At 37.7% G+C, this 20,439-nt stretch overlaps 1 protein-coding gene across 11 annotated transcripts in view, besides 2 other annotated features; it reads left to right on the forward strand.

The window, feature by feature from the left end:
* The window catches only part of NAALADL2 (N-acetylated alpha-linked acidic dipeptidase like 2), a 1,369,567-nt gene that overhangs the window by 79,680 nt on the left and 1,269,448 nt on the right, over positions 1-20,439 (forward strand). For 2 of the 11 annotated variants that reach the window (XM_017006074.3, XM_017006071.2), the window contains 3 exons: positions 2,752-2,887; positions 10,640-10,920; positions 15,960-16,022. The exons of 4 other annotated variants lie outside the window; for them this stretch is intronic. The gene's annotated coding sequence lies outside the window, so the exon portion shown is untranslated. Of the gene's footprint in view, positions 1-2,751; positions 2,888-10,639; positions 10,921-15,959; positions 16,023-20,066; positions 20,187-20,439 lie in introns of those variants that run through there. 5 more of the 11 variants (XM_047447876.1, XM_017006075.3, XM_017006077.3 and 2 more) reach the window with 4 other exon arrangements.
* Positions 17,491-18,438: an enhancer, noted in NCBI's record as "NANOG hESC enhancer chr3:174255942-174256889 (GRCh37/hg19 assembly coordinates)". NCBI's record gives its function as "activates a minimal SCP1, AML or CMV promoter by ChIP-STARR-seq in primed H9 embryonic stem cells {active_cell/tissue: H9 hESC(primed)}" and the evidence as "EXISTENCE:reporter gene assay evidence [ECO:0000049][PMID:30033119]".
* Positions 19,784-20,298: an enhancer, noted in NCBI's record as "OCT4-NANOG-H3K27ac hESC enhancer chr3:174258235-174258749 (GRCh37/hg19 assembly coordinates)". NCBI's record gives its function as "activates a minimal SCP1, AML or CMV promoter by ChIP-STARR-seq in naive H9 embryonic stem cells {active_cell/tissue: H9 hESC(naive)}" and the evidence as "EXISTENCE:reporter gene assay evidence [ECO:0000049][PMID:30033119]".

Below are 20,439 nucleotides of genomic sequence, written 5' to 3' on the forward strand. Positions count from 1 at the left end.
TAAGTCATCAAAAGCATATGTAACAAAAAGAAAAATAGACAAATAGGATTTCATCAAACTTAAAATGCTTCTGCACGACAAACGAAATAACCAACAGAGGTAAAAGACAATTTACAGAATGTGAGAAATTATTAGCAAATTATGCCACCAACAAAGGACTAACATCCAGAATCTACAAGGAACTCAACAAGAAAAACAACCCCATTGCAAAGTGGATAAAGGACATACAAGCAGCCAAGAAACATGAAAAAATGCTCAACATTAGTAATCATCAAAGAAATACAAACTAAAACCACAATAAGACATCATCTCACACCATTTAGAATGGCTACTATTAAAAAATAAAAAAAACAGGTGTTGGCAAGTATGCAGAGAAAAGGGAACACAAACACTGTTGGTGGGAATGTAAATTAGTACAACCTCTGTGCAAAACAGTGTGGAGATGTCTCAAAGAACTAAAAATGGAATTATTTAATTCAGCAATCCCACTACTGTTTATCTACTTAGAAGAAATCATTATACAAAAAAAGACACATGCTCTTGAATGTTTATTGCAACACTATTCACGATAGCAAAGGCATGGAATCAACCTAAGTGTCCATCAACAGTTGCATGGATAAATGAAACTGAATACAATTTGGTCATAAAAAAGAATAAAATGTTCGGGGCCGAGGCAGGCGGATCACTTGAGGTCAGGAGTTCAAGACCAGCCTGGCCAACATGGTGAAACTCCGTCTATACCAAAAATACAAAAATTAGCCGGGCGTGGTGATGCATGCCTGTAGTACCAGCTACTCAGAAGGGTGAGGCACAAGAATCGCTTGGGCTTGAGCCTGGGAGACCGAGGTTGCAATGAGCCAAGATCGTGCCACTGCACTCCAGCCTGGGCGACAGGGCTAGACCCTGTCTCAAAAAAAAAAAAAAAAAAAAAAAAAGAAAAGAAAAGAAATACTGTCTTTTGCAGAAACACATATAGAACTGGAGGCCTATAGGTAATTATCCTCAGTGAAATAACTCAGAAACAGAAAATCAAATACCACATGTTCTTGCTTGTAAGTGGGAGCTAAATGATGAGTACACATAGACATAAAGATTGAATTCATAGACAATGGGACTTCAAAAGGGTGTAGAAGGAGAGGGGAATGAGGGTTGAAAAATTATCTGCTGGATACATTGTTTATTATTTGGGTGATGGGTACACTAGAAGCCCAAACCTCACCATTACACAATGTATGCATGTAACAAATCTGCACATATGGTCTCTGAATCTAAAATTATATTAAAAAAAATAGCCAGGCGTGGTGGCATGCACCTGTCATCCCAGCTACTTGGGAGGCTGAAGCAGGAGGATCACTGGAGCCCAGCAGTTCCAAGCTGCAGTGAGCCCTGATTGCACCACTACACTCCAGCCTGGGCAACAGAGTGAGACTCTGTCTCAAAAGAAAAAAATAAAGCCATGCACAATGGCATTCTGTTAATACACGTCTCATAGAGTATAGTGGGATATTTTTCTTATATTTCCTCTGCTTTGTTCTGGTATTAACATAGCCAAAAATTGAATTGACTTGCAATGGACTGAGTGTTTTATGTCTCTCTTGGTTTCATACATTGTAATCCTAACCCCTAAGGTGATGGTATTAGGAGATGGAGCCTTTGGGAGGTGATTAGGTCATGAAGGAAGAGTATTCGTGAATGAGACTAGTGTCCTATAAAAGAGACTGCAAGGGCTGAGCTTCTTGGCTCAATCTCAGCACTTTGGGAAGCTGAGGTGGGGGGATTGCTTGAGGCCAGTAGTTTGAGACCAGCTTGGATAACATAGACTTCATCTCTCCAAAAAAAAGAAAAAAAATTACATGGGCATAGTGGTGTGCACCTGTAGTCCCAGTTACATGGGAGGCTGAGGTGGGAGTGAGGTTACAGTGAGCCATGATCACACCATTGCAGTCCAGCCTGGGCGACAGACCAAGACCGTGTCTTAAAACAACAAGAAAGGCCGGGTGCAGTGGCTCACACCTGTAATCCCAGCACTTTGAGAGGCTGAGGCGGGTGGATCACGAGGTCAGGAGATCGAGACCATCCTGGCTAACACGGTGAAACCCCGTCTCTACTAAAAAATACAAAAATTAGCCGGGTGCGGTGGCGGGCGCCTGTAGTCCCAGCTACTCGGGAGGCTGAGGCAGGAGAATGGCGTGAACCCGGGAGGCGGAGCTTGCAGTGAGCCGAGATCTCGCCACTGCACTCCAGCTTGGGCGAAAGAGCGAGACTCTGTCTCAAAAAAAAAAAAAAAAAAAAAAAAGAAAAAAAACAACAACAAGGAAAAGAAACTCTAGAGATGTCTTGCACCTTCCACCATGTGAGGACACAGCAAGAAAGCACTGCCTGTAAAACAGGAAATGGGCCCTCACCAGATACCAGGTCTGCTGGTACCTTGCTCTTAGACATTTTAGCCTCCAGAACTGTGAGAAACAAATGTCTTGTTAGTCTATAGTATTTTGTTATGTTATAGCAGCTTGAGTGAACTGAGACAATTGTTTTGGTAATCATCATTAACTTGTAGACACCTAAACTTGTTAGGTGATGAGACTGCAGTTTAAGAAACTCATTTGTTTTGCTTAACATACTTAAATAATAGCAGTACCATTAGAACTAAAGTAGACTCTCCTATAAAGAAAACAATCTATATATGTATATTCTGGTTATACTTAATGAATTCAAAGTTTTATATTCATAACTCTTTTCCCATTATTTTAGTGTAATTTCGGCTTATTTTACATCAAAAATCACCTCCATCAAAGCAGAGATCAATGATGGTTAACATGAATATTCTGAAGTTTGTATCTACATCTCTTACACAAATGCATTTCGTTTAAGCTTTCCTGTAATAAAGGTATGTAATAGGTTGGTTTAAATTTGAAAACAGAACCTAACACATAGTGGCAACAATGGAATTACATGAAAAATAATTGCTTAGTACTACCTGGATGAATAGAAAACAGTTGAAATTTGCTGTCTGCTGGAATTAATCTCACTAACTTTAACCTACCTGAGGCTTTCTGCTGCCTACCTCATCCATGGGGATATGTCTTTTTCCTTATTTATGACTTTACTACTCCTAAATTGCCAGGTCATTGCCAATTTGTGTTTAAATATTGCAACGTAATTATGTGTCTTATTATTTTAGTCATCATAATCATATGGTTGTATAACATTATTTTGCTTTTTTCCTTTTTTTAAAATTCAGGTTGTGAATGGGGTTCAGCAAGTATGATGTGTGCCCCATTATCTCTCTTAGAGAAAATTAGAAAATTAAAACAATTTTATGAATATACTTGGTCTCTTTATTTCTTCTTTTTTTTTGCTTGTATCTATGTCTTTCTATAGTTCTTTTGGTCTTCTGAATTAACAACAACTCCTTGAAATATTATCTGTGTTTTATGATTGTGCATAATGTCATATAATTAATATATCATGTATTAAAAATTTTTACTGAAGTATAATTTAGCTACATTAAAGTATGATTGCCACTACCTCTTTATTTAATGACTAATGTATCAGATGGCATCCAGTAATACAATTCTTTCCTATCTTTGATATATCAAGGCTCACATAGAAAATAATGAAATGATAATATTTATGTAGCGCATTGGGGAAAATAGATGTGGGTGTTGCTTTAAACTGAAAGTGAGCAGATGAGAGTGGGGTGGCGGGTGGATGTTCAGCCTGTCCTAGTCCTGTAAGGCTTGCCCAGGCTTGAAGGTATCTTCACAATATACTGTAGCCACAGACAAGGCAGGAAGCTCTATGAATTCAAATAATGTCTTAATACACCTTATGTAACAATGTTTCATTCAGCAAGGGACCACATATATTTAGGTGGTCCCATAAAATATATTGTTTTTTTGTGACAGAGTCCGGCTCTGTTGTTCAGGCTGGAGTGCAGTGGCATCATTATAGCTCACTGCAGCCTTGACCTCCTGGGCTTAAGCCATCCTCCCACCTCAGCCTCCTACTGGGCAGCTGGGACCACAGGTACCTGCCACCATGCCCAACAAATTAAAAAAAAAAAAAAGAAGAAAACATTTGTCGAGGTTGGGTCTCACCATGTTGCTCAGGCTGATCTCTCCTGCCTCAGCCTCCCAAAGTCCTGGGATTACAAGTGTGAGCCACCATGCGCGGCCTATAAGATTATAATAGAACTAAAAAGTTCCTATTGCCTAGTAAAGTTATAGCCATCCTAACATTGTAGCACAAAGCATTACCTTTTCTGTGTTTAGATATGTTTAGATGTACAAACACTTAGCATTGCATTACAGTTGCCTAGAGTATTCAGTAGAGTAATACTGTATAGGTTTGTTGCCTGGAACAATAGGCCCTACCATATAGTCTGTGTGTACAGTCGTCTGTACAGTCTAGATGTAAATACCACCTATCTTGTTTGCACAAAGACAAAATCACCTAACAGTGCATTTCTCAGAACATATCCTTGTCATTAAGCAACACATGACTGTAATTGGATAGATGTAGTTGTTTCAGATGAAAACTCGAGACAGTCTTCTAGAGAATTTGTCTTTATGACTGTGCTAGTCCATTCTTGTGTCACTATAAAGGAATGCCTGAAGCTAGGTAATTTATAAAGAAAAGAGGTTTAGTTGGCTCACCATTCTGCAGGCTGTACGGGAAGCATGATGCTGAATCTACTTCTGGCGAGGCCTCAGGGAGCTTACAATCATGACAGAATGTCAGATGGCGAGAGCAATAGCAAGAGCAAGAGAAGGGGGATGTCTCAGACTTGTAAACAACCAGATCTTGTGTGAACCGAGTGAGAACTCACTTATTACCAAGGGGATGGTGTGAAACCATTTATGAGGGATTCACCCCCATGATCCAGTCACCCCCCAACCAGGTCCCACCTCCAACATTGAGAGTCACATTTTACAGTAAGATTTGGAGGGGCACAAACATCCATAGCAATGATTAATCATAGCTGTATTTTTAATGATGTTTTTAGATAATCCATAAATTATGTGAAATCAAAAATTCATATAGACAAGTCTTTCAGATGTTTGGATGGATTTTCAACTTTATTCAGATTCTAGCATCTCTTCAACTTGTTATCATAGCAATGCTTTCATTTCTGTACTTAAAAGTGAACAAACAAAACTTTGACTAGTAAGAGATACCATTTTGGGGGGCACCCACTATGTTCTGGTCCCCCATGAGCATTTCTAATCCCCATAATAATGGGGGAGCATGGATTATTGTTCTGATCTTATACAAGAGTAGTCTGAGTTTCATAGATTTTAATTAGTCAAAAAACTAGCTAGTAAGTAGTGGAACTAGTATCTAAATATAGGCTAATCTGATCCTAAAGCCTGAAATAAATGTGTTTGCCATGTCTATAAGGAGGATTTACTGACTTACAGCATTTGTTGAATAATGACTTTTGGGTCCTTAGGTATAAATTTTCAGGTGCTTCTCCCTCACTTACCAGTTGAGGCTTATATTTTTCTGTATTCACCTCCCACTTTCGTTTCATCATCCCTCTTGCCAATGGTGATATTTTGCAGGCATAGTGTAGGGCATACTGGCAATTCAGTGGACTAGCATTTCTGTGTAAACAGTCATGGCTTTGGCCTCATTAGCATTGGGAACCTAGACCACCAGCTTTCGAATTCTAGCTCTGCTACTTACTAGCTGTGTGACTTTGGCATGCTTTACAACCTCTTTATAGCCCGGTTTTCTCATCATGGTATAATGAGAGTAATAATAGTACCTACATTATAAAGAATTGCTTTGACTAGTAAATAGTTAAATAAATGTCTAACACTTTACATATTGCCTGGCATATAATATATATTGACTATTATTTGTGGTAAATGGATCATGATAATTGATGAATCACTTTCATAATTTTTCCATGGGAAAGAATATTAGAGAAGTATTAGTACATTAATTTAAAAAATAGCCAGCTAACTTAATAATTGTATTTGGTAACACTGAAATTGTTTTTCTTTTTCTTTTTTTTTTTTTTTGAGATGGAGTCTCATTCTGTCACCCAGGCTGGAGTGCAGTGGTGTGATCTGTGCTTACTGCACCCTCTGTCACCCCAGATTCAAGTGATTCTCTTGCCTCAACCTCCCGAGTAACTGGGATTACAGGCATGTGCCCCCACACCCAGCTAATTTTTGTATTTTTATTGGAGACGGGATTTTACTATGTTGGCCAGGCTGGTCTCAAACTCCTGACCTTAAGTGATCCATCTGTCTCGCCTCCTGAAGTGCTGGGATTACAGGCATGAGCCACCGTGCCTGGCCTGAAATTTTTTATTAGTAGTTTATCACTAAAATAACTTAGGGTCATACTGCAGCTACTAACATTATCTGTTCACAATTTTGAATGTGTTGTGATATATCTACACAGTAGAGGGTGGAGTGAAAAGTCATAATGTTTAAGTTGTGGTGAAGATGCACTTATTCAATAGTTTGTTCTGCTCTACTTTCTAATGTAGCAAAATATTTGGATTTCTAGGAAAGAGTTAAGAAAACAGACATATATCAGTGATAGAAAAGAAGGTCTTGGCTGGGCGCAGTGGGTCAGGCCTGCAATCCCAGCACTTTGGGAGGCTGAGGCAGGTGGATCACAAGGTCAGGAGTTAGAGAACAGCCTGGCCAACATGGTGAAACTCTGTCTCTACTAAAAATACAAAAATTAGCTAGGTGTGGTGGCACATGACTGTAATCCCAGCTACTCGGGAGGCTGAGGTAGGAGAATCATTTGAATCTGGGAGGCAGAGGTTGCAATGAGCTGAGATTGCGCCATTGCACTCTAGCCTGGGCAACAAGAGTGAAACTCCATCTCAAAAAAAAAAAAAAAGAAAGTCTTTTATTTTTCTTTTTAAGTGTAAGTAAGCTTTTAATTACCCAAATTTGATGTCTAGACTTTTGTCAAAGCCATCTCAATTGCCAAGGAAATTTAATGACAGGGAGCTTAGGAAGAGATTTGTCTAGTTGGGAAAGTCTAAAGAATCTGTCTAATGGAGGCAGAAATTTACATGGATAATATAAAACAATATATTAATAAAACATCCATCACATTTGCTTGAAATTATATTCAAACATAAGTGTTTCTTATGTTCTGGGATTTCAGGGGTTATCTACAAAAATTCTACCTGGCCTTGGTCCCTTTCTTGCTATTTCGTATTGGAAAGGGGATGTATCCCTTTGAAAGTGATGAACTAGACCGGGGCTGGCAAATTATGGTCCCCAGGCCGAATCTGGCTCAACACCAGTTTTGGTTAATAAAGTTTTACTGGAATACAGCCATGCACATTCATTTACATATTGTCAGTAACAGCTTCATATTCCGACAGCAGACTGAATAGTTGCAACAGGTGCCGTGTGGCCAGAAAAGCCAAAAATATTTACTATTAATATATTTTATTATAAAAAGCTTGTGAATCTAAATTCACACATAGGAGCTTTCTTCCACTTTGTGTTATGTACTATCTCTTTTGAGAATATTTTCTCCTCTAGATTTAATCAAAGCAGCAATAGTACTGAATAAAAATGCCTATTGTTTCATATATGTTAGTCTTTTCCATTTCATTTAGATTATAAACTTTCATAGTGTGCATAGCATTATAGGAGTATCCTTCTTATATAAAATATAAAATATTACAAATGTAGTCACCAGGCATAGTGGCTCATACCTGTAAGCCCAGCACTTTGAGAGGCCAAGGCATGTAGATCACCTGAGGTCAGGAGTTTGAGACCAGTCTGGCCAACATGGTGAAACCTAGTCTCTAGTAAAAATACAAAAAACTTGGGTGTGACGGCATGCACTTGTAGTCCCAACTACTCAGGAGGCTGAGGTACAAGAGTTGCTTGAACCTGAGGTGGAGGTTGCAGTGAGCTGAGATAGTGCCACTGCACTCCAGCCTGGGTGTATTAGTTTTCACACTGCTGATAAAGACATTCCTGACACTGCGCAATTTACAAAAGAAAGAGGTTTATTGGACTTACAGTTCCACATGGCTGGCGAGACCTCACAATCAAGGTGGAAGGTGAAAGGCACGTCTCACATGGTGGCAGATAAGAGAAGAGAGCTTGTGCAGAGAAACTCCCATTTTTAAAACCATCATATCTCATGAGAATTATTCACTCTCATGAGAACAGCATGGGAAAGATTTGCCTGCAAGATTAATTACCTCGCACTGGGTCCCTCCCACAATACATAGGAATTCAAGATGACATTTGGGTGGGGACACAGTCAAACCTTATCATTCTGCCCCTGGCCCCTCACAAATCTCACGTCCCCACATTTCAAAAGTAGTCATGCCTTCCCAACAGTCCCCCAAAATCTTAACTCATTTCAGCATTAACTCAAAAGTCCACAGTCCAAAGTCTCATCTGAGACAAGGCTAGTCCCTTCTGCCTTTGTGCCTGTAAAATCAAAAGCAAATTAATTACTTCCTAGATACAATAGGAGTATAAGAATGAGGTAAATACACCTATTCTTAATGGGAGACACTGTCCAAAACAGAGGGGCTACAGGCCCCATGCAAGTCCGAAATCCACTGGGGCAACCAAATTTTAAAGCTCCAAAATGATCTTTGACTCCATGTCTCACATCCAGGTTGCACTGATGCAAGAGGTGGGTTCCCATGGTCTTGGGCTGCTCTGCCCCTGTGGCTCTGCAGGGTAAAGCCTCCTTCCCTGCTGCTTTCATGGACTTGCTGAGTGTCTGCAGCTTTTCCAGTGCAGTGTGCAAGCTGTCAGTGGATCTACCATTCTGAGGTCTGGAGGATGGTGGCCCTCTTCTCACAGCTCCACTAGGTGGTGCCCCTGTGGGGACTCTGTGTGGGGGTTCTGACCGCACGTTTCCCTTTAGCACTGCCCTAGCAGAGGTTCTCCATGAGAGCCCTGCCCCTGCAGCAAACTCTGCCTGAACATCCAGGCATTTTCGAACATCCAGGCATTTTCATACATCCTTTGAAATCTAGGCTGAGGTTCCCACACTGCAGTTCTTGACCTCTGTGCACTGGCAGGCTGACACCATGTGGAAGCTGCCAAGGCTTGAAGCTTGCACCCTCTGAAGCCACAACCCAGGCTCTATGTTGGCCCCTTTCAGCCACGGCTAGAGCAGCAGGGACACGGCATCAAATCCCTAAACTGCACACAGCACAGAGACCCTGGGCCCGGCTCACAAAACCACTTTTTCTTCCCCAACTTCCAGGCCTGTGATGGGAAGGTCTGCTGCAAAGGTCTCTGACCTGCCTTGGAGACATTTTCCCCATTGTCTTGGTGATTAACATTTGGTTCCTCATTACTTAACACAAATTTCTGCAGCCGGCTTGAATTTCTTCTCAGAAAGTGGGATTTTCTTTTCTATCGCATTGTCAGGCTGCAAATGTTCCATACTTTTATGGTTTGTTTCTCTTTTAAAACAGAATGCCTTTAACAACACACAAGTCACCTCTTCAGTGCTTTGCTGCCTAGAAATTTCTTCTACCAGATACTCTAAATTATCTCTCTCAAGTTCAAAGTTCCACAAATCTCTAGGATAGAGGCAAAATGCACCAGTCTCTTTGCTAAAACATACGAAGAGTCACCTTTGCTCCAGTTCCCAACAAGTTCCTCTTCTCCATCTGAGAACACCTTAGCCTGGATTTCATTGTCTATATCATTATCAGCATTTTGGTCAAAGCCATTCAAGTCTCTAGGGAGCTCCCAACTTTCCCAAATTTTCCTATCTTCTTCTGAACCCTGCAAACTGTTCCAACCGCTTCCACATTTTCGGATATCTTTTCAGCAGCACCCCACTCTGCTAGTACGAATTTACTGTGTTAGTCCGTTTTCATGCTGCTGATAAAGACATACTCGAGACTGGGCAATTTACAAAAGAAAGAGGTTTATTGGACTTACAGTTCCACCTGGCTGGGGAGGCCTCACAATCACAGCAGAAGGTGAAAGGCATGTCTCATATGGCAGCAGATAAGAGAAGAGAGCTTGTGTAGGGAAACTCCCAATTTTAAAACCATCAGATCTCATGAGACTTATTCACCCACTGAATGGGTGAATACTTACCCCCCACCGGGTCCCTCCCACAACACGTGGGAATTCAAGTTGAGATATGGGTGGGGACACAGCCAAACTATATCACTGGGTGACAAAGGAGACTCCATCTCAAAACAAAACGAAAAACCTACACACACAGAAAGTAGGAAGTGTGACTTAAAATATTGAAAGGAACAATAATTCATCTCTTGTATGATCAGTTTATTTTGTGAAACTATGAACAAATTTGTTGAAGCAATTTATTGAGGTAAAGCACACTGACCTACAGTTCATATGACTTCTGAAGAAGACAAATACAGTCTTAAAGCATTAGGACAAATATACAAGCTATAATGAACATCATCTAGTTAGCCCAAATTTAGTGTAATTAAAAAGCCTAGTTATTGATACTGACATTTTCATTTATTTGGCCCCGTGTTTCTATGCATGGTGTATGTTTCTATTTCTTTTATTTTTAATCAACTTTTATCACATTTTCTTTCACATTTGCTCATTTTTAGTCCTTTTAGTCATTATTTCCATGGCTCTGCATTTTTTTTTTTATTCTTTTGGTTCTGTCTTAGCTTGGAGTCAAAAATTGAGATCAGCACTCAAGTAGAGCACTCATCGGTGCAAGAGTGATAGTGGGATTACCTTTTAACTCATGTAATCTTGTGAAGAGGCACTGTGCATCATCATTATCATCAGCAAATAAAATCCACGTAAAGGCCATCTCTCCAAAGTCTGCTTTCTCTTTTTAAAACTAAATTTGAATAAACATTGTGGGTAGAATTTATCAGGAGCAAAGTTCACTGAGAGTCAATCTTTTGTGAGGATTTTCGAACTTTCTATCATTCATTTACAGGTAAGTGTAGTTTACCTGCTCTGGGGAAATGATGTTTATTATTTAAAAATCAGAAATGAAAGAAGAAACCCCAAAGTAAGATGATTTATTTGCTTTTTGGTAAACTCGATTCTGTTTTGTAACATTTGAAACATGGATTTTATGAGTGAGTCTATTAAAATGTATACTCCCTCTAGTGTGTGTTAATCATTATTTCTCTGCTGGGCCTACGGATTACCTGTCTGCATTGTAATGCAACATTCCTTAATATTTACAATAGAAATACCAGTGGTTCATAAGACATCTCATATTTCTGTGAACAAAATGAGATTTACAAGAAATAAGGACTTGTCTGTAGAAATACATTTCAAAATATTAAAGTCCTCATAAAAATTCCTAGATTTATTTAAATCAGTATTGATTTAGACTAATGAAATAAAATATCTGACCCCAGTGATTGTACTTTGATGCTCCAAAAGGTAGATGAAATCATTGCAAGTACAGTTTTAGTATAAATATAAACAGAGCAAAAAATAGGTACTTCATTTATAATTGTGTTCAATGCATCAGACATTTATTAAGTCTCTACTTTGTGAAGGTCCTTTTCAGTTTCTGGGGGAAGGAGAAGGGGAAGGGATGTAGAGATGAAGTCAGATCCCTGTCCTTGGGTGAGGAGGACTGAGACAGACATGAGCACCTGTAACTATTTTTTTAGAGTGTGAAGATCCATTACTATAACATAAAAGCAGTAAGTGATCCCGAAATAAGGAGATGATGCCAAACCAAACTCAGGCCATGAGATTTCTAGCTCTGCCAAGTTCTTATCACTATTGAGAGGTCAGTCTTATAAATATTTGAGTAGAGAAGGAAAGGGGGAGGGTATGGAAATTGCCTAAATTTAGGAGTAAGAGGGACAAAGGCCCTTTTAGGAGGAACTGTCCTACTGGAGTCAAATTTAATCATTGAATCCTATATGGAACTCAGAGTACTGTTCAAAGAGTACTGTTCTTGGGTGCTTATAGAATAGTGAGGGAGAAAAAAATATAACTGGTTTCCCAAGCTACACTGAAGGAAAATTCGGTTGAGCCCCTGTTTCACTACCTGATCTATTCTGGATGGAATGTGCTCTAAGAATTTCCACGTTTCTTTTTTTCAGCATCCTTTTCTTTACTGAACGTTCTTAGCTTCAGCCTTTCTACTCACTTCTCAACTTCACCAAACTGTATCCCCTGTTGACTTTTGCAGGAAATCTATCACATTAAGTTATATATTTATTGAGGATTTGGAGGGTCATGGCTGTGGGATATGATGAGGTTTCTCTTTAAATAACCTGATCAATCTTTTATTCTTTAATTCATAGTACCCCCCTCCTTTTCTCCTTTTCTCCTTTTTGCCTTTGTTAGATGCCAGGCATGCCACAGTACCAGGTATAATCAGTACCAGCTCACATTCCTTTCCTTATTTGGAAAGAGGACTAACTTTCTAGCTCATTACAGACACCCCTTACCCTTTCCTCTCCACTTTCTTTTACGTGCCCACCTTATCTAAAAAAAGCAAATGTTTAGCCAACCGGGATTAGTTTAGGTTGTATGACCCAACCCCAGCCAATGGGGAAGGGGTACAGGGGCAGGACTTGCGTCAGGAATAAAGGCTCTCGTGCCCCCTTGTTCAGGTGTGCTCTCATGGCGACTGGCCAAGGAGGCACCCCTCTGCATAGAAGTAAAATTGTTTGCTAAGAATCCTTTGTTCGAGTGTTCAATTTCCTTGGGAATTTTGAGCATTATTCCTAACATAGGAAAAGAGATCATACCATTGAGCCCTCTTATCAGCCTCAACTCCTGTTTTCTCTTCTCTGTTAATCTCTATTGGCTCTCAAAAGCTACAGCTCCTAATACATGTTGCTCTCTGACTCACCTAACAAATCCCATCCAGCAAGGGTAGTCTAGTCTTCTTCTCCACAAAAATGCTGGTGAATATTTCTGAAATTATTCTTATTGTTAAATAAACAATACAGGAACCACAGAGGAGGTGGAGAGAGGAAGAAGCAACACAAAGGAAATTAGTTGGAAAAAAAAAAAAAAACCCACAGATTTAAAGTGTCTAATTGGAGCATAGCGATTACAGTGTATGTCACTTAAAGCTCCATAATAGATCTTACAGCAAAATTCTGATTAATCTCATTCCAACTGTGTAGTTGACAATAAAGCATCATTCCAAAGTATCCTCATTATTTCCTGGTCCAGGAAAGTATTGCTTAAAGAAAAGAGAGGACATTTCAGAAACAAAACTGTAGTCTTGACATTTGAGAATAAGACATACAACTGGCAAGAAATGCAAGCTATCTATAGAATCAATTAAAAACAAGATTATTAGGAAGTCATGCAATTGTTGTGGTTGGATATTAAAAAACTCATTTTTCTCTACTTTATAAACATGACAATAATTTTTTAAAAAGCAAATGCACATATTTATATATGTGGGAGGTAGAAAATATATTTTAATATTGCACATTATGTGTATATAAAAATTGGAACAAATTAGTACTTACAAAAAAGTATTTAAAGGGCAGAATCTACTATTACATTTCTTATGTCTGTGTACATACTACACAATATTTCTTAGTAAAATGTGCTATGAAACCATTTAAATAAAACTAGGACATTGTTTAATATCTAAGGAAAAGTAACACATTTTTACCAGATGGTTTAATTCATAAATATTTCACAATATAAACAAAAAAAATGTTTAACCTAAAGTTAGTCTTGGGATCTAGTCCATTTTTTCATTTGTTTGGAATGCTATTTAAATTCAAAATGCTTTGATGTTACCTGAATTTATTTTACATAATTCCAGATATTGGGCAAATTATTTGAGCAGCTGAATGACATTATCACAGATTCTGTTTCTATCATTCTTCTCTGCCATCCTCACGATGTTGGCTTTGGCCTTAGACTAACTTCCTCCCTGCTCCCAAGATGTCCAGAGCAGTCCTAGCCATCACATCTGTATACAACAACAGGAAACAAAGGATTTTTTCAGAAGGGTGGAAAACTTAGAAGCCCCAAGAACACCTTTCCTACCATCTGACTGGCTAGCTATGGCTAACATATATACCCCTAAATCAATCCCTGGCAAAAGTAATGGCGCCATTATGTTTGAGTCTAATCAGGATCGTCTTAAACCTGTGCATACAGTCACCCTCTCCAGAGTTGCTTGGAAAGAAAAAAGACATGGAAGGTGAATCGGTCTTGTAAAGAAGAGAAAAAAAGTGATTTGTTTGGGAAGCCGACAGTGTTTTTTGGAGAAAAATTGTATCAGACTTTAGGCCAGTGGTTCTCAATCTTAGCTGCACATTAGAATCATCTGAGGAATGTTAAAAAATATATTGATTTAACTGGTCTGGAGTTACACTATAGCTATTGGCAATAAACACATCCTTCTGGTAATTTTAATATGTAAGTTTGAGAGCTACTGCTCTAGGTAAATTAAAAATAGAATAAAGAGACAAAAACCTTCATCAATCTGCACACATTTAGCTTCTCAAGCAGTTTTGTTTATGAGCTCTACTGAACATTACCTGAAAATTAACCATTGACTAGCAGGGCAGAATTTCCAACACAAGATCTTAGACCACAGTTAATTTGCCAGACTGAAATGGTGCTCACTGCCATATTCATGGTACTTATTACAACAATGTATGACAGTAGGGTACTTAAAGTACCCAGATGACTTTTATGGTCAACCTGAGTTCTAGTTTTATGTAAATATAGGAATACAGTATTAGTCCCATTTTTGTGAGAAAAACTGATTTGCAAAGTGGCTCTTAGTGGAAGAGACAGAACCAAAGCTAATAGTATTATCCTAACAGACAGGGTTCCCTCATTCTACTGTTGTTAGTAATTTTGTTATTGTATTTGAGAAATATCATTTGTTTTGGCTAAAGCAAAGCTTTATAATAGCTACTATTTATTGACAATTTGCTATGAACCGGGAGCCGTACTAGGTGATTTATTCCTGCCCCAACTTTTATTTTATCCTCATGACACTCTTATAAAGTAAATATTACTTTACAGATAAGGAAATTGGAACCCAGAGAGTTCATTATTCCTCCAGTGTCTCTTATTAGTTCATTTCTCTGGGATCTGTATATGCCCATAATGCTGTGGGTTACATTGCCATATATAATTTGTTGAGTTTATCAGTTCAACAAATACCTATTGGTTGACTTATAGCTGATAGGTGCTGGGCTAGGCTCTGGATTGGATTGCATTTTCCCTCTACATTATAATTTACTTTTTTTTTCTTTCTTTAAGAAGTAGGTTTACAGCAGTTGATTTGCAGTTGCACCAAACACTTAACATCTGATCAAAGAACGATTGAATGAAAAAATGAATTCAATATTTAGATTGTGATAGTTTGTAGTTGCTCATATTACAAAGACTAATGAAATTTTACCTTGCCAACAATTTGCTATTCCTTAGGAACATCAAATATAAAAATAAAAACATTTTTAAAATGCAGCTTAAAGTATACTCCCAGATAGTTTCAAGCAAATACTGAGTTTCTAGTATGTATGTCTTGAGTTGTTCTGACACTCCATATTACTGTTTTTAATAAAAACAGCATTCTTATTGAGAACAGATAATTGGTCTGAACAGCTGACATTTATTTAGATACTTGATTTAGAATGTTTTCTACTGATTGAAAGATAAGGGGAAAATAAACTGGGCCATGGCTATTCAGGACTGGCTAGTTTAGTTTTTCATAGAGATAACATTTTCCAAATTACTGAGATACGATATTGAAAATGAAGGGCAACCTTCTTGTTGGGTGAAAGTGTTAGAATAGCCCTAATGCAGAATCTCATTAAAGCAACTGTCAAGATTCCTCTATTTTGCCATCACCTCCCCTATTCTGTAAGAAGCAACTGTCGTTTTGAGTGAGTGTACTGCCAAAGAGGCATTTACAAATAAATGAAAAAAGTCACAATTGATTTCACTCCTTTTAGAATACTGTGTGTCAGCTTTGTCACAAACTGTCTTTGCTACTCTCTGTTTTAGATCTCCCAGCTGGACGTTCAAAATAGCTTTTGATGTCTTAGGGCGTCTTTTATTCAACCCTAGGTAAGCCCTCTATTGGTGACCTTTTATAAATATTTGTAAAGCTGTTTGAAGTGTTAGAGAAAATGAAAACCCTTTCTCTCTGTAACTGCTGTTTTTGTAAAATAGCATCCAGATGTCAATTGTTTACATACATATTTTGTCACCTGGGGGAATTGTTTCCATTACAAAACATTGTAAAATTTTATAATAATATTTCACATTCTCTTCCCCAATACAATGGTTTGTTATTATGCTTAATTTAACAATAATGCAAATAACAATATTACTTGTAAATAAGACATGGCAAAGTTCTTCCTGTATTTTGAAAGAACTGAACAAGTGTCTAAATTTATCTTGAATAAATAAGTCATATGATTTATATGTAATATCAATGATACACATTCATTGTTGCCATCACTATAAACCAGTCCACCAACACTACTGCCATCATACTAATGTTATTGAAGACTTACACTGAGCCATATGCTTTGCTAAGCAATTCTATGTATTGTAGAAATGTATCACAAGGGTGTTTGAATCCTAAATTAATATGGATTTGGAAAAAAGACAACTAATTAGAAATTGCTAGCAATTGTTTTTTATTATGGATATTAAATTAAAGGGAAGCAAATCTTCATATAATTATACTGTAAGAGATTTTAATCAGTATAATTAATTATAGATCATGCTATCATTTGTGATTATTTAGCTTGCTACCGTTGACTTGAAAGATCATGGAATGGACCAATTAACAATATTCTATTTCTCTTTGAAATAGCGTTTTAAGCAGTTCATTCATTCAACAAATATTTATTGAGCACTATTAAGTGCCAGGTAGTTTACATTGAAGACATGATTGCGAAGAATATGTACCTACTCTTGAGGAGTTTAAAGTCTAGTGAGAGTCAGGAAAACATACAAGTACAACATAGTGTGATAAGTGGAACAATAGCGACAGCATGGAATACAGTACGAGAAATGATGTGGGCACCTAAGCCAGGCTAGGTATGGCTACTCAGGGAGTGATATGGCAGTAGAATGTGGAAGAATAATTAAATTTTGCAGAAAGGGACAGATTGTGAATGTCCTCATAAGCCATATTTAAGAATTCAGATATAATCATGTACAGTGGCAGTTAAACTGGAAAGATTCATATAATATTGTACAAAGTCAGGCTGGTGATATTCTCACAGAGCCATCTGACCATGTTTAATAACTAGGAAAGCAGCCTATTCTTCCTCTTTCACAGCTATATAAATGGAATATATTTCCTAGAATATAAGAGCTTTGTGAGCAAGAACCTGGTCTAATTTCCTTGATTCCCCAGGATCTATTGCAGTACTTTACACAGAGGCTCTTAGTATTTATAGTGTGGAATGATACAGTTAAATGTAGACATCTAGAAAATTGATAGGTTGCCCCAGCAGAGGCTCCCTCAGAGGTTGACTATTTATAACTATATACTCTTTTTATCACTGATCAGTTGTCACAAATGGCAAAATTCCTTTCCACATCTCCTTTTTACTTTTAGATTCACAATGAGAGTCTTGTAAACCAAAAATAAAATTCTAAGTCCCCAGCCAATTGAATGGGCCCCTCCTGTTGGCCCACGGCATTCCTAAGTTAACCGTAAAAATTAGTTCCAGCCAGGATGGGAAGTGGAGGTTGGACCTGCCTCATTATATTATCCAGGTTTTGGAATTTAGGCACAGCTGGCCAGCATTTAACATTCAAGCAGAGAACTCGAGACTGACAATGCAGACTCTTTGTAGCAATAAGATACCAACATGACAGCTGGTCCTAAAAGAAATTGAAGTATTTTACCCAAAATAAATTTACTTGACATATTTTGAAATGACTCTGCAAAGCTGTCCCTAATGGGACAGAAGGGGAAAGGAAAAAAGACCTTCCCTTTCTAGGTGTCTTTCCTGAACGAGGAGAGAATTAACTAAGATTCTGGCATTTTTTTAAGTTGGATAAGAAGCATTTACAATCTATTCTCTCTGAAGCCTGCTACCTGGAGGCTTCATCTGCATAATAAAAACCTTGGTCTCTATAACCCCTTATCTTAATCCAGACCTTCCCTTCTATTGATTCCAGGTCTTTGGATAAACTCTTTCAACCAATTACCAATCAGGAAATCTTTGAATCCATCTTTGACATGGAAGGGCCCATTTTGAGTTGTCCTGCCTTTATGGACTGCACCAATGTACATCTTAGATACATTGATTGATGCCTTATGTCTCCCTAAAATGTATGAAACCAAGCTGGAGCCTGACTACGTTGGGCTCATGACCTTTTGAGGTTGTGTCACAGCCATGTCCTTAACCTTGGCAAAACAAACTTCTAAATTTATTGAGATCTGTCTTAGATACCTTTTTGTTTGCAGTCTTCATCAAAGAAAATCAACATAAAATGCAATTTTTCAAATAAACAATCTAATAATATGTGTCAGTAAAATCTATGTAAACAAACTAAAGAATTGAATAAAACTAAGACTAAGTAAAGACAATAATTTTCAGCAAAAGCAATAACCAGTATGTCCAATATTTATTTAACTCTAGAAAATATATACTCAAATACATTACAAAAGCTTTCTTTTACACACACAGAGATGAAATGATAGCTATCATTAAATTAATCATATATTAGAAGATAATGTACCAAGGAGATAAATTTGATTTGTTTTATAATAAATTGTTCAATGAGGAGCCTTTAAAAATTATGGTACTATAATTCACAAATCACAAAATTATTTATTTTAATAGTATATATCATTTTATAGTGTGGACACTTTTGGTTTAGTTTAACCCAGTGTGGATTCTGTCTTTCTTGCCTTTGTTAAGTTCTTCATTCTAGAGACTTACTTATGACCTGCCTTTCTGGCGTTATTTCTTTAAAATGTGCTATCTTATGGTCACCTTACTGACAGATTTGTCCTTGAAAGCAGTAGAACATTTCTGCGAATTTATTTTTGTTGTGGCCACATCAAATTCTGAAAGGACCGTCAATACTCATCCAAGGCACAGAATAGTATATCAGCTCTCATTTTTTTAAATTGGTCTAAGGATCACAAACTAATAGTTTCAATAAATCCAATAATTTTGGTAGGTCACTTAAAGCATTGTTTTCCAAAATGAAAATTTCTTTAAAAATTAAAAACCTAGCTATATAGAATATTCAAGCAATAAAGAAAACATGAACAAAGATGCCAAGAGACATAGAGCATCTGTCAACCTCAGAGTTACTGATGATTGCCCTGTTGTCCACAGGGTAATTGTAACATTTTGCCAAGAGAGAATTAGGAAGTTCTGGAAAAAAAAAAAAAAAAAAAAAAAAAAAAAAGCTGCCTGATGTTTTGAAACAATGGGCATTTATCTATCTTGCTATCAGTTAAAATACAGGGTAAGAATGGTCAAATATTAAAAAGACTAATGGAGGAGTACAAAAGTGGCAGAAGCAAGTAATAGAACTGGGAAGTGTTGAACCAAAAGTTCACAAAATAGAATTTATTCTAGTAAGAGGGGGAAAAAAAGCAGATGAGGCCAGGTCTGCCAGTAGGATGTGTAAACATCTGTGAGCTAGGCGTCAGTGAAGGGCTGGCTTCTGGCTAGCTTCTTGCTGGGCCAGGTGGTGGTAACTGTATGCAGCAGAGACTCCCTTGTTTTGGGGTCATTTCCTGTGCTTATTCTCTCTGTTGGTTTCCTTCTTTTGCTTCCACCTCCTCATTCTGACAGCACCTGTTCTATAATATTACTTTGGCAGGCAGCCTTAATGTACATTTTAACAAATTCTCTGTGCCAAGTTTTCTCTTTAAGTTACTAAAGGTAATTGTTAAAAAACTTTCAAAGCAAGTGGGATAAAACAAAACTGTGCTATGAAGGCTATAACAGTCAACTATACTACTAGCCGGAAGACTTCTTACGAATTTTACACACTACATTAGAAGCTGGCTTGTTGACAAGAAGAACTTTAATAGTTTTTTATTGTCTCTACAATGGGGCATAAATTTACCTCACTTCATGCTAACATGCCCTATTTGACTTCTGTTTTCCTTTAATAAAGCTATGCAGATTTCCAGGGACTGGGACAAAAGCAGTTGATTTGCATTAGGACAAAGCATTTTCCCAATGATACAATGTGACTCTTGACAACCTGTTGCCTTGGAGACTAAGAACTTTACATGTGAGTTTTCCTAATGATAGGTATTTTTAAATTTATCTATATAAGATTCAGTAGGATTTTCTTATCTTAATAGCTACTGCGCAACTATGTACCTTTTGCCATATGGAGGTAGAAGGGGAGAATTAAAACGCTCCTCAAAACAGGGATGGCACAGTTCCTGTTTGGAACATATTAGATCTACTGGAAGTAAGGTTTTGCATCCAGTAGAAACAGAGCTTTTCTCACATTATTTCCTCTTACCATGTTGCTCTTC

Source organism: Homo sapiens, chromosome 3, assembly GCF_000001405.40.
Source record: "Homo sapiens chromosome 3, GRCh38.p14 Primary Assembly".
NCBI classification, from domain to species: Eukaryota; Metazoa; Chordata; class Mammalia; order Primates; family Hominidae; genus Homo; species Homo sapiens.